Source organism: Homo sapiens, chromosome 16 (genome assembly GCF_000001405.40).
Source record: "Homo sapiens chromosome 16, GRCh38.p14 Primary Assembly".
NCBI classification, from domain to species: Eukaryota; Metazoa; Chordata; class Mammalia; order Primates; family Hominidae; genus Homo; species Homo sapiens.
Window position 1 is genome coordinate 72,792,290 of NC_000016.10, and position 15,465 is coordinate 72,807,754.

The 15,465-nt window shown below is 46.6% G+C and overlaps 1 protein-coding gene and 1 long non-coding RNA gene across 13 annotated transcripts in view; one reads left to right on the plus strand and one right to left on the minus strand.

Annotated features, from left to right (window-relative positions):
- The window catches only part of ZFHX3-AS1 (ZFHX3 antisense RNA 1), a 156,522-nt gene that overhangs the window by 127,157 nt on the left and 13,900 nt on the right, over positions 1-15,465 (plus strand). The gene's annotated exons all lie outside the window — the stretch shown is intronic.
- Positions 1-15,465, minus strand: part of ZFHX3 (zinc finger homeobox 3) — a 1,109,046-nt gene that overhangs the window by 9,405 nt on the left and 1,084,176 nt on the right. For all 10 annotated transcript variants that reach the window (NM_001386735.1, XM_047434166.1, NM_001164766.2 and 7 more), the window contains 2 exons: positions 7,738-7,840; positions 966-6,425 (listed from right to left, as the gene is read on the minus strand). In NM_001386735.1, the coding sequence (NP_001373664.1) occupies positions 966-6,425; positions 7,738-7,840 (5,563 nt within the window). The remainder of the gene's footprint in view (positions 1-965; positions 6,426-7,737; positions 7,841-15,465) is intronic.

Below are 15,465 nucleotides of genomic sequence, written 5' to 3' on the forward strand. Positions count from 1 at the left end.
ACCTCTGAAATGTGCATCAGTATTTTAACAGAACCACATTGCCCAATACAAGATTCCTGGTCAGTGCACTCAAGTAGAACGGCCATCTTGTTAAAAACAGCCACTATTGTTCTGGCTAGAAGAGAACCCCAACATTAAGGATCTACCACATAAGACCTTCTGGTAGTTCTTTTTTTTTTCTTTTTTTGAGACAGTCTCGCTGTGTCACCCAGGCTGGAGTGCAGTGGCACAATCTCAAACCACTGTCTGCCTCCAGGGTTCAAGCGATTCTCCTGCCTCAGCCTCCCGAATAGCTGGGACTATAGGTGCATACCACCACACTTGGGTAATTTTTGTATTTTTAGTAGAGATGGGGTTTCACCATGTTGGCCAGGCTGGTCTCGATTTCCTGACCTTGTGATCTGCCCGCCTCGGCCTCCCAAAGTGCTGGGATTACAGGCATGAACCACTGCACCCGGCCCTGATAGCAGTTCTTTTGCCACCGTAGCTCTCTCAAGAAGGCAGGGACCCCAGGTGAGGGCAAAGAGTTGATTTAAATGCTCTTGGACCAGTTTTCTTAGGGCATAATCCAGAATTAGCTAGGACTAACTCAGGTGTCTTATATTTACAACAAATATCTAGACAGGATCAGCATTTCCACAAGGACTGAATGAAAGGGTCTATGATAAAAACTTGTTTCTTGAAATATTCCAGAAATTAGTATGCCAGGACCCTCAAGTTTTTCCCTATTATAGGGGATAAGAGTGGTTTCAAAGGAGACTGTTCCGACCAGGAGGTCCCATCCCTGACACACCAGTACTTGGGAGACTCAACAGGAACGAACTGAAGTCTTGTTGCTTTTAAAGAACTAGAAAGGTAAGCTTCCCATCTGCCCAGCACTCAGAGGGTTTGGGTGGTATCCACATAACAGAATGCTGACTGGGCAGCTATTTAGCCCTGAAACAATCGCCTAGAGCAGAACCCACCTGTGTTGGATGGAGTAAAGCCTGGCAAGGAGGGGCTGTTGAGGCCCGGGAGCAACACAGGAGGAATGCCCTGGAGCGCTGGATATGCTGTAGGAAGGTTAAGGGCCTGAAGAGGGGTGTTGTCAAACATCCCTTGCTGCTGAGCTGCCAGTCCAAGGACCTCGTTGGCCTTTTTAATCCGGTCCAACTCTTGTTGAGCCATCAACTGACGTACGGTGGCTGGGTCAAAGTATTCTTTCTCCTTGTCCAGCTGGCTTCCAATGGTGTCTTTAACTTTGGAGATATGCTGTTGGGAAAAGATATGGTCACGTACAGACAGCCGAGCGCTGTACTTGATGCCACACAAAGTGCACTCTGTTTTGGGTCCCTCATAACTCGTTTGGTTTATACCAAAATGCTTGGCCATGCTTAACTTGGACTTCTTTTCTTTTGCCCGGGCATTCTGGAACCAGACCTGAACGACTCTCTTTGGCAGTCCAATGTCATTGCCCAGGACCTCACATTCTAGCATAGTGGGTGTCCTGTAGTCATTAAAGCATGACTTGAGGACCTTCAGCTGCAGATTGGTCATTTGAGTGCGAAAACGTTTCTGCCCAGGCCGATCTCCGCTGTCACCAGATTTGCCTGCAGATCCACTCGCACCAGGACTCGGGGAGCAGGGATCTGCAAGGCTTGAGGTTTCACTGTAGTCCACTGTACCTTCATTGTCATATTCCTTGCTATAAAAGCTCGGGGCCGGGCTGACCAGACCAGATGACAACCGATCTTCATACTCAGACATTGCCATCATGGCCGCTTTGGTCAACCCTTCGTTGGGTGCAGAAGAGGATTTGGTTTCAGTTGCTATTCCCGTTGCACTGTCGTTATCTGCGTTGCCCTCGTCTCCAGTTGTGGTATCTGTGATTGCTGTGTTGACAGAGGAACAGTCATCGTTGTCCAGCTTAGTTTGGTCAAAGTTTAGATTAACTGAGGACATGGAGGGGCTTTCAAAGTCTTCAATCCCTTCCACCTTAATGGAGGAAGGGCTTAGAAGAGTTCTGGGTGACAATTCCATGGTTTTACTCACAGGTGAGAGGGGGACACCCTGACCATCACTACTGCTTGGGGGTAGGTGGGAAAAGCTAGTTCCGTCAAAAATATCTCCTTTCATCTGGAGTCCCCCATCACAGTCTAAGAGCATCGCAGACAGAGTTAGGTTGTAGCCAGCTCTCTTGGCTTCATGCCAGTGACGGGACCGGATATGAGCCTCAAGAGCAGTCTTGGCTTTGAAGAGCGCTCTGCAAAAAGGGCATCTCCTGTGGGCCTGCGCTGGGCCTACAGCCCGGAACTGTCCTTTCCTTTCCCGAGCTCGGGTGTTCTGAAACCAGACTTGTACCACACGTTTCTTCAAGCCCACCTCGTGTGCAATGTGATCCAACATCTTTCGAGTCGGATTGGAATCCAGTAGATACTTCTGGTAGAGAATTTCTAGTTGTTCCGGTGTGATGGTTGTTCTCAAACGCTTGTCTCTCTGAGGCTCTTCTCCTCCTGTCCCACTGTCGTTTTCGCCAGGGCTTGCACTGGCCTTTTCCTCCAGCTTCCTCTTGAGAGTGTTCATTGTGGAGGTTGGAGTTGAAGGAGAAGTGGCTGAGCTTGCTGGAATCTGAGGTATGGCCCCAGAGAGCAGCTGGCTGGCCAGGAGTGGGTTACTGGGATCAAAGAGCATGAAAGGCATATCCAGGGACCTGTCCAAAAACTGGGGGTGGATGAACTGGTTCTGCGCGCTCAGGAAGTGGAGCTGCTGATGCTCCTGCCAGTGCTCAAATGACGGAAATGCCAACTTACACTGGTCACACTGGTAGGGGATTAGCTGAGGAGGTAGGTTTGCGAGCTGTTGAGGAGTTGATGTGTGGAGGGGCTTGAGGGGCAGGTGGGAGAGCTGGGAAGGACTGGGGCTCGACTGGGGTAAGGGGCACTGTGGAGGGGGCGCTTGTGGAGGAGGCTGTGGCAACGAAGGCAGGGACACCAGCTGGGGGAGCTTCTGCTGGGGAGTGTTGGTCTTCTGCTCGGGCTGCTCTTGCTGCTGCAGCTCTGGCTTTGGTTGTCCTTGCTTTTCTTGGGTTTGGTTTGGCTGTGCACTGGGAGCTTCCGCCAGCTTTGGTTTCTCATCGCCTGCCTCTGTTTTTGAATTGAAGGTGGCCAGTTCCTCAGCCTCCGCTGTAAGCTGCAAGAAAGCGGAGGAAGCTGTATTATTGGCTGATGGTGCTGGGGCGCTGTAAGCCTGTGAGGGCATCGGGGTACTGCAGGATGAGCTGGTAGGCGTCAGGATTTCCATGGCATCCATGGAATCCTCATTTTGGCTGTCGTCCTGCCCCTCCTCATCCTCATCCTTGTAACACAGCTTCTTCTGGTGCTTGATGAGATCAAAGATGCGCTGAAACACCAGGCTACATTTTTTGCACTGGTAGTTCAAGTTGCTTGTTCGAATGTATCTATCATTTGTAAGCTCACGCCGCTCTCCATCTTTGCCCTCTCCCTGATTCTCATAATTCTTCCTGGCCTTCTGTCGGGCATTCTGAAACCACACCACTATCACTCGGGTTGGAAGGTTCAGTAAATTAGAGAGTTGCTCAAATTCATCATCCTTTGGGTAAGCATTGGCATCGAAGAAGTCCTGTAAGACCCTCAGCTGGTAGTCCGTAAACCTTGTTCTTGAAGACCTCTTGCTTCCCCAGTACTCCTGCTTTGGAGGTTCCGGCGAAGGGGGCCGGGAGTCAATCTTGAGCTCCTCCAGGCTGGTGATAGGAGGATTACTGAAGTTGTAAGGGGAGTCCTTGTTACGCTGCCTCTCTTTGAAGAGAGTGTTCCTGAACCAGTGCTTGATCACTTTCTGGGGCAACCCGGACTTGTCTGCCATCTCTTTTATTTGCTCTTCACTGGGGGAGTTGTTAATGTCAAAATATTGCCGCAAGACTCGGAGCTGATCATCTGTGATCCTGGTGCGAGGCCTCTTGTTCTGCTGCTGGAGCAGGGTTGGATTGAGCTGATGCTGGTAGAGTTGGGCCAGGTCCGCAGGCAGAGGCTCCACAGGTCCCAGCTGCGGGGGTAGCTGAGCCGGCAAGGTCTGCAGCGGCATCGTCTGCATCATCAGCGGCGAGAAGATGGGCAGCTCCATCGGCATGGAGAGCTGGGTGAGCGGCACTGATGGCTGGGCCGGTGCAATTGTAGGTGAGGTGATGGGTGGGGCTGATGCGGGGATGGCTGGTGTGGACGCCGGCTGAGGCGGCGCTGCCGGAAGTGGGGGTGGAGGGGGTGGAGGGGGAGGTGGTGGTGGCTCTGGGGTCTGGGGCCTCAGTGGGTACAGTTTATCGTAGTGGTCTCTGTACTGTTTGGCAAACCTCTCGAGCTGTTTGAAAGGAAAGTAATTCTGATGAACGTGCTCTTGATGACTCTTTAAAATCAAGATGTTGGAAAACAACTTGCCGCAGGAGTCACACTCGAGCTTTTCCAGGTTCTCTCCCTGGTCAGTCTTCCCATTCTTTTTCTGCACCTTCTGCTTGTTCTCATTATACTGGATGACCAACTCAAAGCCAAAGTTCTCCAGCAGGGCCTTGGTGGCGTTCCCTCTGGCATCTGAAGCAATGCGTGGAGGGAGCATGGAAGGCTCAGAACCACCCCCTGGTGCCAACTCTTTCTTCTCTTTGGCCTTCAAGGCATCTGGCAGTGTTTCCTTCGGACCGGTGTTGCCCTCTCCCCCCTCGGCGCTGTCCCTCTCTCTCTGGCTTTCTTTTTCCTTTTCTTTGATGACCAATTTGTTCTTCTTTTCGGGGTGCTGGCTTGGCTGAAGGAGGGCAGAGTGACTCTGGGCTATAGAGAGTTGGTTCTGCTGCTGCTGCGGCAAGATCTGCTGATGGCTCTGCTGTGGGACCTGAACCTGAGCCTTCAGATCTTCCAGCAGGCCTGGGCCTGTCCCAGTCAGTGTCAGTGCCCCACTGGTCACTGGCAAGCTCACCTCGGGGTTAAGCTGGAACTCAGCACTGGGGATGTAGAAAGGGAAGAGGAGGTGCTGCTGCTGCTGTAGTTGCAGCAGGGTCTCAGTTGTCATGGGGAAGTGAGGAAGGAGGGTGGGGTTAAACAGCTGAGACTGGATCAGGGCAGCCTGTTGCTGCAGCTCCTGCTGCAGGTGAGCTTGAACTTGAGCCTGGGCCTGGGCCAGCGTTTGTGCTTGTTGTTGTTGTTGTTGTTGTTGTTGTTGCTGTTGCTGCTGCTGTTGTTGCTGCTGCCTGGATGCAATCATATCTGCCAGTTTCTTCCGATTGGCCTCTTTGGGCTCTGAAGGGGAAGCAATGTTGGCACCAATAGGATTCCCCAGGGGTGGCATCCCTACACTCTCAGTGGGCACTTGGCTTAGTAAGTTAGAGCTTGGAGCAATGCCAGCACTGCTTGGATTGGAGGTGGTAAAGGTGTTACTGCCACTGGTGCTCACAGGACTTGGCGTGGAGGAGCTCAAGGAAATACTGCTGCTGTTCCCAGTCCCATTGCTGCTGCCACTTGCAGCCTCCAGCTTGGCTGCCCGGGCCTTGGTTTGATGTAACACAGACCTCATATGGATCTCCAGAGTGGAACTCTGGCTGTAGGCCACATTACAAGTGTTACACTTAAAAGGTTTGTTGTCTGGGCTGCTGGTGGGTTCTGGCTGACCGGTTGCTGATTCTTGAAGGGCTCTCTTTAACTTATGCAGGTGGGAGACAGAATTGTAGTGTACTAGCAGGATATTCTTTTGAGTGAAAGATTCCTTGCAGACGGTACACTTGTAAGGGCGAGAAGGGTCTAGGAACTTTTCCATAGTAAAATTGGGACCTTTTCTGAAAGGCAGAGCTCTCTTTGGCTCTGAGCCCGAGTCTTCTTGTACTGACCCAGAGTCACTGCCCGTTGGGCTCTGTTTATCTTCCAAGTCACTCTCTTCCTCCTTGTCTTCCTCAACAATTATGGTATGGTCCTCTGCCAGAGTGGGGTCTCCCATTGCCAGGAGGTCCCCATTGGCCAGCAGGCCACCATAAAGCTGTTGGATGTCAGCCTCACTCAGCTCCAGGTGGCTTGTCTCAAGGTGCTTCTTCAGAGCCTGGAAAGTTCGGAAACTGCGCTGACAAAGACAGCACATGGTGGCAGCTCTGATCACATGGTACTGAGAATGGAGCTGCAACTTTTCAATGGTCTTGAAGGCCAGGCTACACTGATTACAGCGGTACTTGTACACATGGCGATCTGACACCGGCAGCTGAGGCCTCTTGGCATGCACTTCATTAAAATGCGTCTGAAGGGCAGCAGAAGTTTTGAAAACCTGGTTGCACCCCTTCTTCCAGCAGATGAAGCCTGAGTCTTCTCTCACAGAGCCTGGGTCAGCAGGGGATGGTTTCAAATCTCCGCTTTGCTCTGTGCTTGCGGATGGCAAGATGTTCTTTCCCAGATCCTCTGAGGTTTCTGTTAAAAAAAAAAAAAAAATCAAACCCAAAGATAAAGAAGGCTTTGTTTCAAGGATGGCACCCAGAGCGGTCTACCTAGTCAGGCCTCATGAACACAGAATCTGATGATGAGGGAAGTGCCCAACCTGAATGACAGAATCTCTGCGGAGCGCCTCCTGCTTTCTTTTGTTCCTCCAATAGAGCACATATTATAAACAGGGTGCACATGAACAGAGATGGATAAAAGGAAATACAAAAAGTTTCAATGCATAATAGACCCATGTCATATCACAGATCTAACAGTCTTTTAAATAGCATTTAATTGCTTGACTCAGAATCCTCAATTTCTCAAGAGCTGGTTTGAAGGTTACTGATCTTAGACTGGATTTCCCTTTTATGTTCATCTTTTATGTAATAAGCATTTAGCACAGTAGATCTGAAGTGTAGAATATGTGAATTAATGCTGTCCTAAGTTGTGAGGAATTTACAAGAACTGCTGAACATCGTAATATAAGAAATTTGGGGATACATATTTTTAGGCATTTAATTTCTTGTTATAATGTGACTTCTGATTGCCATCTCTATTCAATAAGCAATTAACATTCAAGTGTTCAATTATTTAAAATACATTTTTTTCCCTACAATGAGATCATCACACTCATAAATACCGAGACCCTTTAACAGGTCATTTGTCCATTGTCTAATATGGAAAACTCACAAGAAAGAGAGAAGGCAGGACAGTAGTGTGGCCAAACTCTTCCCAACTTAGAACTCTTCCCACCTTAGAGGTGAACGATGTAGGACAGCCTCACAGAGGTCTAACCATTCATCTAGCCAGGAAACACTATGTGGCACCAACTACTGTCTACAACAATGTTCTTTCCATCAGCATCTCTGTGCTTCATCCTAAGCCAATCCCAAAAAACTCAGAACGAAAGACAACTAATCCAGTGTACCTAAAAATCAACCCACAAGTCCCTACTAATTAAGTCCTCAGAAATACAGTGTTTAATGGCTTAGAATGGTAGGGCCTACTGACTGAGTCTCTGGTTATTCACTCCCTAATTGTATAGTTTAAGAAGATGTGTGTGTCTGTGCCAGAATTCCACTGGTTCTCATACTAATTTTCTCTCACTTTAAACCATGTGAGTAATATACAAATACATGCCAAGAAGCAGAGTATAAAGTAGCTGATGACAGTGCCCCTCATCTCCTGATCAGTTACATTCACCTTAAGAGTATTGTAAAGAATTCCTGAAAACCTTTCTCCATGAACATTTTGGCATTCCATCTTGTTTCAATTTCTTGGGGTCAAGAATAATGATACTGACCAGGCTGCTTTCCTGCCTCTTCCAAATTGGAATTCCCATCTCGATCTGGAACAGCTGCTGGGAGGAACATGCTGCTTGGCATCACCATCTCAGGGGTGGTCACCTGAGGAGCAAGAGCAAGGAGAGTCAAATGGAGAGGAAAGCGACACAAAATAGGAAATGTTTAAAAATTATTTAATAAGCAAAATTAGCCTTCACCAGTGTAAAGCTAGAGGTGTCTCACTTTTCATAGCTCACTGAAGATTCATGTTTATTAGACAAAGCTCACATCAGTCAAAAGTGTTTCTACGGTTACATTCTGGACATAATTAGCAGTGCACACTTGAAGAATAATCTTCTTATTAATATTTTTCCTTTATGCAGAATTTTGACTTTGATCACTGACAATGTTTTGTCATGGGCTGTGAAACTTCTTGTGCAACCAATTAGGTAGATAAGTTGAAAGGCCCACCTTAAGCTGCTGAAAACATAATAAGGGCCCTAATTAAATCATACCTAGTAAAGTACACTGTAATCTTGAAGCAGGGAGCATTGTAGTACTGTTTTCAGAACGTATTCAGGCAAGAGGAGGAGGGGAGTAAGAGTGAAGGAAAGGGTAAGAAGAAAAGAAGAGAACAAAGGGAAGGCTAGGGACACGCAGACATGCTGGCAGATTTTCCAGGAAAACAACATTTGTAACCCTTTACAAGCTGACATCAAGCACAAACAAGCCTTTTTTTGTGACTCACTTAAGCCACGATTTCTTCTGGAGTCTCTGCCCAAGGTATACAACATCAGAGGGAACTTCTGACCAACGTCCCAGCGATAGAGGGTGGCCTGCACAGCATTCTACAACAGGGCAGCCCCACCTTGACCATGGCCATTTTTTCTCAATACAGCAGTTCTGGAAATCGCCTGGATCCAAACAGCTGCAACTTTTGGGCAGAGCCTCAGATATTTCTCTAGGCCTCCCTGCCGTACGGCCAGAAGCCTGTCCAAACAAGTTATCATTTGCCTTATGTTAATGTGATAAGCAGCCCTCGATATCCAATGGAAAGATCAAAGGTTCTTCATTCAAAAAGAAGCAATATCCTTTTGCCTGATATGGGGTGGGAAGGGTAGGTGGCGATGATATTTCAAATGAATTAGAAACCACCTCCCATTTGATGATAGCTGGAGAAATGGACTGACCTAGAAGTTACAGGACCAGAAACTACAGTCACCACTAACCTTTCTACGTGGCACCCAGCCCCACTTGGAGACATTATTTTTCCATCAAACACAACCGTACTGCACAGACATCTTCACTGTCTGTTGCAAAGATTGGAATACGTAGATTTCTGTTCAAAATTAAATAATATTTTAAATACATTACTATTAATTTTTAATGGTGTGACGATCCCAGCCTTGCTCAAAATAGCTACTGAGATGTCCACTAGAATCATCAGCAATAAGCTTGACAACTAGAGGAAACCCAGACAGCCACCCCCATCAACATAGGATAACTCCTCATCACACTTAGGGGTATTAGAATAATTTCAGCAACCCAGATGCCAGCGGGTGCAAAAAGTAAGCAACAGGTACCATGGAGAAGCATTCTGAGAAATGCTGTGTTTACGAAGAGCAGGTGTGTGGCAGGTGAATGTGTGTGACATAGCATTCTTGCCCCCACAGACATCTGCACCTCACACAAAGCTCATCGGCAGCTGGTTAAGGCTAGCTGTTGATGAATCGTTAAGAATGGAGTGGAGATTGCCAAACTCATTCCATCTATTTTCTTTTTAATAGAAGGCATTTCTGACTAGTGTGGTTGGGGAGTCCAGCGGGAATCCGAGAAGTGAAAGGTCACCGATTAATTTGTAGTCCTCAGCTGAGGGGGAGCACGAGGTTGGGGGTAAGAGGGGGAGAAAGGGAAAGGAAAAAAGACTCCCCCCCACCTCCTTTCTCGGTTGTAGCTGCAAGATCAGTCCTTTCCTGGGATCTTTAGGAATTATGAAAAATGAATCATGAGAAATAAAAAAAAAGCCCTACAGAGTAAAAAAGAATAAAATTATCTAACACCTCAGCTGCACATCATTATAGAAAACTGTGGGCTTTTCATACACATTACAGTAAGGCAGACATCCCCTCTAACAGACTCAGTACGACGGATCAGTAATTGTTTTCATACACTTTAATTAGAAAAACTCAGATGGCTATGAATAATAATGGAAAAGAGAGACTTTTGCACTTGAAAGGTTGAAGTCAATCAAGTGTGAATGACGGCAAAAAAGAAAAAAAAAAGACACCAATTCATCAGCCCTCTGTTGTCTCGCTGCGACTTTAATCATAATTCCTGATTGGGATTCAAGAAGGCAGTAAGCAGCGGTTCTTTGTCTGCCTTCACCTTCCATCAATTAACTCTCCCCGAAATATAATCATCAACCTCACATGCTCCTCTGCATCTTAATCTGGGCCTCCAAACCTGTAAGTCTTGCCCCATATGTGTTTAAGTAACTACTTTTATCCACCTGCATTTTTCTCATCTATAGTGTACCCAACCTCTCCCTGAAAAAAAGGGGGGGTTGGTATATGAAATTTTGATGGGCAAGAAATTCCCAGGAGGCAAAGAGGAAGATTCCTAAAGAGAATCCTAAGGATCTGGAAATTCAGGTGGCGTCTGTCTGTGCATGTGTCTCAACAGAGGTTGAGAATGGAAGCTGCCTTGCTACACAGGCTACTGGAGGGCCCCATGTCAGTTCTCAGACACTAACGTTCCCTTTGCCCATTCTTCCCTCTCCTACCAGCTTCCAAAGCTTTTTACTCAAAGCTTTCATGCTTTATCTTGAAGAGCCATAAACAATCCTGCCAACAGAGCCCATTGAGGAGTCCTTCTGCTCACTGAGGTGATATATATATCCAAAGGCAGACTTCCTTCAACACTTGCCTTGGCACCCCCTTTGTTTTACAATCATATCTGGCTACTAAACTGCATGGAATTCAGACTGTCCCAGCCATAGTCTCTAATGGATAGCTGAAAATGGGAAAGTAATAACCCAGCTGTCGGCCGGGTGCGGTGGCTCAAGCCTGTAATCCCAGCACTTTGGGAGGCTGAGGCGGGTGGATCATTTGAGGTCAGGAGTTCAAGACCAGCCTGGCCAACATGGTGAAACCCCATCTCTACTATAAATACAAAAATTAGCCAGGCGTGGTGGCTCATGCCTGTAGTCCCAGTTACTCGGGAGGCTGAGACAGGAGAATTGCTTGAACCCGGGAGGCAGAGGTTGCAGTGAGCTGAGATTGCGCCATTGCACTCCAGCCTGGGCGACAGAGTGAGACTCTGTCTCCAATCAATCAATCAATCAATCCATCCCAGCTGTGCTGAGCACAGGTAAAGACCTTCCCTTTTGCCAGGAACACTGAAACATGTAGGTTTATGAGAAGACAAAACCTGGTTGTAGCATAACCAGGGTCATGCCAAGTGTGCCAAATTTCAGAGGCCCTCAAATAACTGGTCCTACCACCAATTTTCCTGCAGAACAATATACATGCTTTCTCTCTGTTCCTTCTTCCCCTCTCTGGCCGCAATCCTACAATGTCCATACTTCCAGCCATGGACTCAAGAGCCAAACGAAAAAAGTTCTAAGGTTTGGCCAGGTGACAGTACAAATCAGCCCAAACACCTACACTTTCTACATTGAATGTACCATCCACATTGATTATTCCGATAATCCATACATCAATAAACATTTAATACATTAAATTATATCCCCCACTCTATTCACTAATGAACCTGAGAAGTAATGAGAAGACAAAAGTTTTTCTGGTTAAGAAAATTCAACTGATTACAGCCATTACAGCATTTTGGGTCTCTCAAGGTTGGCCTCTGCCATGCAAAAGGCAGTTCCATGGTGATCTTCTAGACACCACGTTTTCCTCCCAAACCTTCTGAGCCAGTTCAACTACCTTCCTCCCAGAGTACATGTACATTTCATGGAAACTTGGGAAGAAACCATCAGCTGACTGGGGTGCAGAAAATTTGGAAGCCAACAGTGGCTCTGATATATTCCTAACAAACAGGTTTTCATGCATAACAAAAGAAATGTAGAGTTCTACTCCAGTGCTCAAAACCTCCCAGTTTAAGTAATTTTCATATATAATAGAAACAGAAGCGTTCCACATTGATGCTAAAAATGTTCAAGCTTAAGCACTTCCAAAATAACACAGTTGAAAAGGAGTAGCCTTGAGAAACTCTCAGTTCATTCAATTGACCACCATTTACTAAATAAACACTGTACAGGATCCATGTGCTGCATGCTTCTGAGATGCAGAGAGCCAGACAAAAGTTCCTGTCTCCAAAAGGCTTATGATGCAGAATAAATAACCCTTTAGAGGTCACAAAAGCCTTAGAAATCTAATACAAGTTGCAGACTCCTAGGAAAATACTTTCACAGAAAGAATATTCCAGATAATTTTAGGAAATTACAAGCTCCCCAGAAGGAAATCCATGTACTCAAGTGAACTGCCCTTGATCTACTAGGAGAGGTAACATATAGGTTCATAAATACATAGTTCCAAGCTCTTCCTAGTTTGGTTCATTATTATTTTGGATTATGTTCTAATGCTTTTCAAGATTCTATGAGGTGAGTGGACCCTAAAGCCTCAAGGGCACACCTTATACAGCCCGTGTCTGAGATACGGGACTAGTCTCCCACTCTGACATTTGGGAGGGGCTGCTGAAATATATAATTTCTTGGTAGAATCTGGAGTTATAAGGAACACCATCCTGCCACTTACGCCAATCCCTGCAGGTCACAGATGTGGAAGGGCCAATATAACACCCTGTGCAGCCAAGGTCACCCTTTGCTAAGTTCTTATGGGACCGTTCATGCCAATTCATCTCTTGAAGCTACCTGCAGACAGGCTCACCTAGGTTAGATCGATGCCCCAGACACATTCTGTGTGCTGGAAAGCAGAGAGATTTTATTTATTTATTTATTTATTTATTTTTCAGAGGGAGTTTCGCTCTGTTGCCCAGGCTGAAGTGCAATGGCACAATCTCGGCTCACTGCAACCTCCGCCTCCCGGGTTCAAGTGATTCTTCTGCCTCAGCCTCCCGAGTAGCTGGGATTACAGATGTGCACCACCACGCCCAGCTATTTTTTTTTTGTACTTTTAATAGAGATGGGGTTTCACCATGTTGGCCAGGCTGGTCTCGAACTCCTGACCTTAAGTGATCTGCCCCCATCAGCCTCCCAAAGTGCTGGGATTACAGGTGTGAGCCACTACGCCTGGCCAGCAGAGATATTTTCTTAGCAAAAGTGGTGAACCTAGTTTCTCTGAGACCCTTATTCCTACCGCCTTGGCATTGCTCACTTTAGGACTTCTTTCTGAAAAGCCCACTATTCCAGGTGAAAGTATAGATTTGCCGATACCTAGGCTCCCAAGGATGCCTCAAATCCTTTACTTTTAATTGAAAATCAATAGAATGAAGAAATTCAGACAAAAAGAGGAGAGACCTCAGGCACAGACCTCCTTGGCACAGACCAAGCCAGTCTCTACATCCTTGTGGATGAGACTGGTTCTGCCCAAAACATTAAGCATGAAGTTAAAAGCCAGCTGCTTTTAGGGCTGAGCAGTCTAGCTAGTTGGTATATCTAAAGCCAGCTGTTCCAGCGAGAGGCCAGTTGCTCACTTCCTTTCCTGTACCTAGACAGCCACTGGGGCCCACTGGCTGGTTTCTGCACACTTACAGCCAACAAACCAGGGCGCCTCTTGCCAGTAGAGTTTCAGAGTTGGGTTCCCCACCCCACTTTACAGTCTTCTACATATGCCAGGGAGAATACTGGGCCATGGCGTCTTTTTAAAAGGCTCAGCTTCTTCTCTCCTTGTCCCATTTCCTTTTCTTTCTTTCTTTTTTTTTTTGAGATAGTCTCACTTTGTCACCTGGGCTGGAGTGCAGTGGCACAACCATGGCTCGCTACAGGCTCAAACTGCTGGGCTTAAGTGATTCTTCTGCCTCAGCCTCCTGAGTAGCTAGGACTACAGGTACACACCACCACTCTCAGCAATTTTTTGTGTGTTTTGTTTTGTTGGTAGAGACACAGTCTTGCCATGTTGCCCTGGCTGGTCTCGAACTCCTGGACTCAAGCCATCTTCCCACTTTGGCCTCCTTGTTTCCTTTCTAAAACTGCTTCTGTATGGTAGTTCATTCAATTTTTAAATACATCAAGCTCAAAAGAAAATACTGTAGGGCCGTGTTAACATTCATGTAGGCTGGAAACAAATGTAGCTCAGAACCAGATTTTTGAAACTGAGGATGAGAAAGATTGAAAAGGTAGATGGGAGAACAGGAAACACATGAAGAGTTATACACGTGTGCGCAGAGAGGTGAGAACTGAGAAGGAGAATGAATTGGAGAGAAAACCTTCATTAGACTCAGAGAGGGAAGCAGTGGCAGTATACCAAGGTCACTTCTAATTTAGACCATCTAATTGGCAAACAGGCTCCAAATGGCTATCATCTCACAGGGCTTGGAATTAATGAAGGCTGATTATTTTCATTACCTTCCTCTTAAGATACAGGCAAAGTGAGAGAGCTGGTACCCAGGTGGGTGCAACCGCCCCCAGGCCAGTGGCTGCCCTAGAGCCCCAGATAACCAGCCTGTCCTAGAGATTCACAGACACACATGAAGCATAGAGAGTCACAGACGCTGACGGAAAAAAATCACAAGGTTACAAACTATTGGTCTCAAAAGAGATACCGAGAAAAGTGCAGGCAACACAGGGCCAGGAGCATGGAAGGGAAACTGTGCAGGTACAAAAAATACAGAATAATTAAGAACTACCAAAGGGAGCCAAGACAAAGGGCTACAGAAGGTGTTCCTAAGCTGCCCAGGAGCCAATCCCATCTCCATTATGAGGTCATATTTTGTTAAATGATGAAAGAACAAAGAGAATTTCCCCATATCAGTGCTTCAGGATCCCAGTGGTGTGTCCTGTCACTTAGAAAGATAGTGATCAATTAGAATAATTTAAGAGTATTGAAATGCATGGTAGGTGGTCTTTCCTATTCTCATTCAGGGGACAGAAACATGGGCCCCATGCCTTCCACCCTTCTTTCCTGAAAGAATGGGAAAATAAGGGCACCGAGCAGCAGCTCCTACATCTCTTTCACCAATTTGAAATCTCAAGCTTCTTTGTAAATAGGTGAGAGTTCTTATGTGTAACTGACATTGGGGGAGGGCTGCCCAGCCAGTTGTGGAGGGGCCCTTGTCTCATCTCCCTTAAGCTTTATAGATTTCCTTCTTTGATATGACGTGTGCAGAGGTACTCTTTGCAGCTCTGTTTCCAATAGGCCAAGAAGAATGAAGTGCTGTGGGTGTGGTCTCCATAGTGGAGGGCCAGCACTGCAATTGTTCCTAGTGGAGAATATTTCTCAAGCCCCCTCATCAGTAAGAAGGGGGCCCATGGAAGACATAGATATGAGATGCAGAGCATAAGCAAGCAGCTGTTACCATAGCAACAGACATATTAGACACTGCAGGTTCCTGAAAGCTGTCTGATAAGGTATTATTAAATGAAGCCTCCTCAAAACGCACTCCATTTACAACTGAACAGAAAGACGTTGTGTAGAAAGTAATCTGTTTCCATTTATCAGGGTGGAATTTACTTTTAGTGGGACTGAACCGAACTCAAGCTAAATCCTGAGACTTTGGACACAGACAGCAAAAAATATTTACCAGAATTTACAGCTGTAAATACCCCGGAC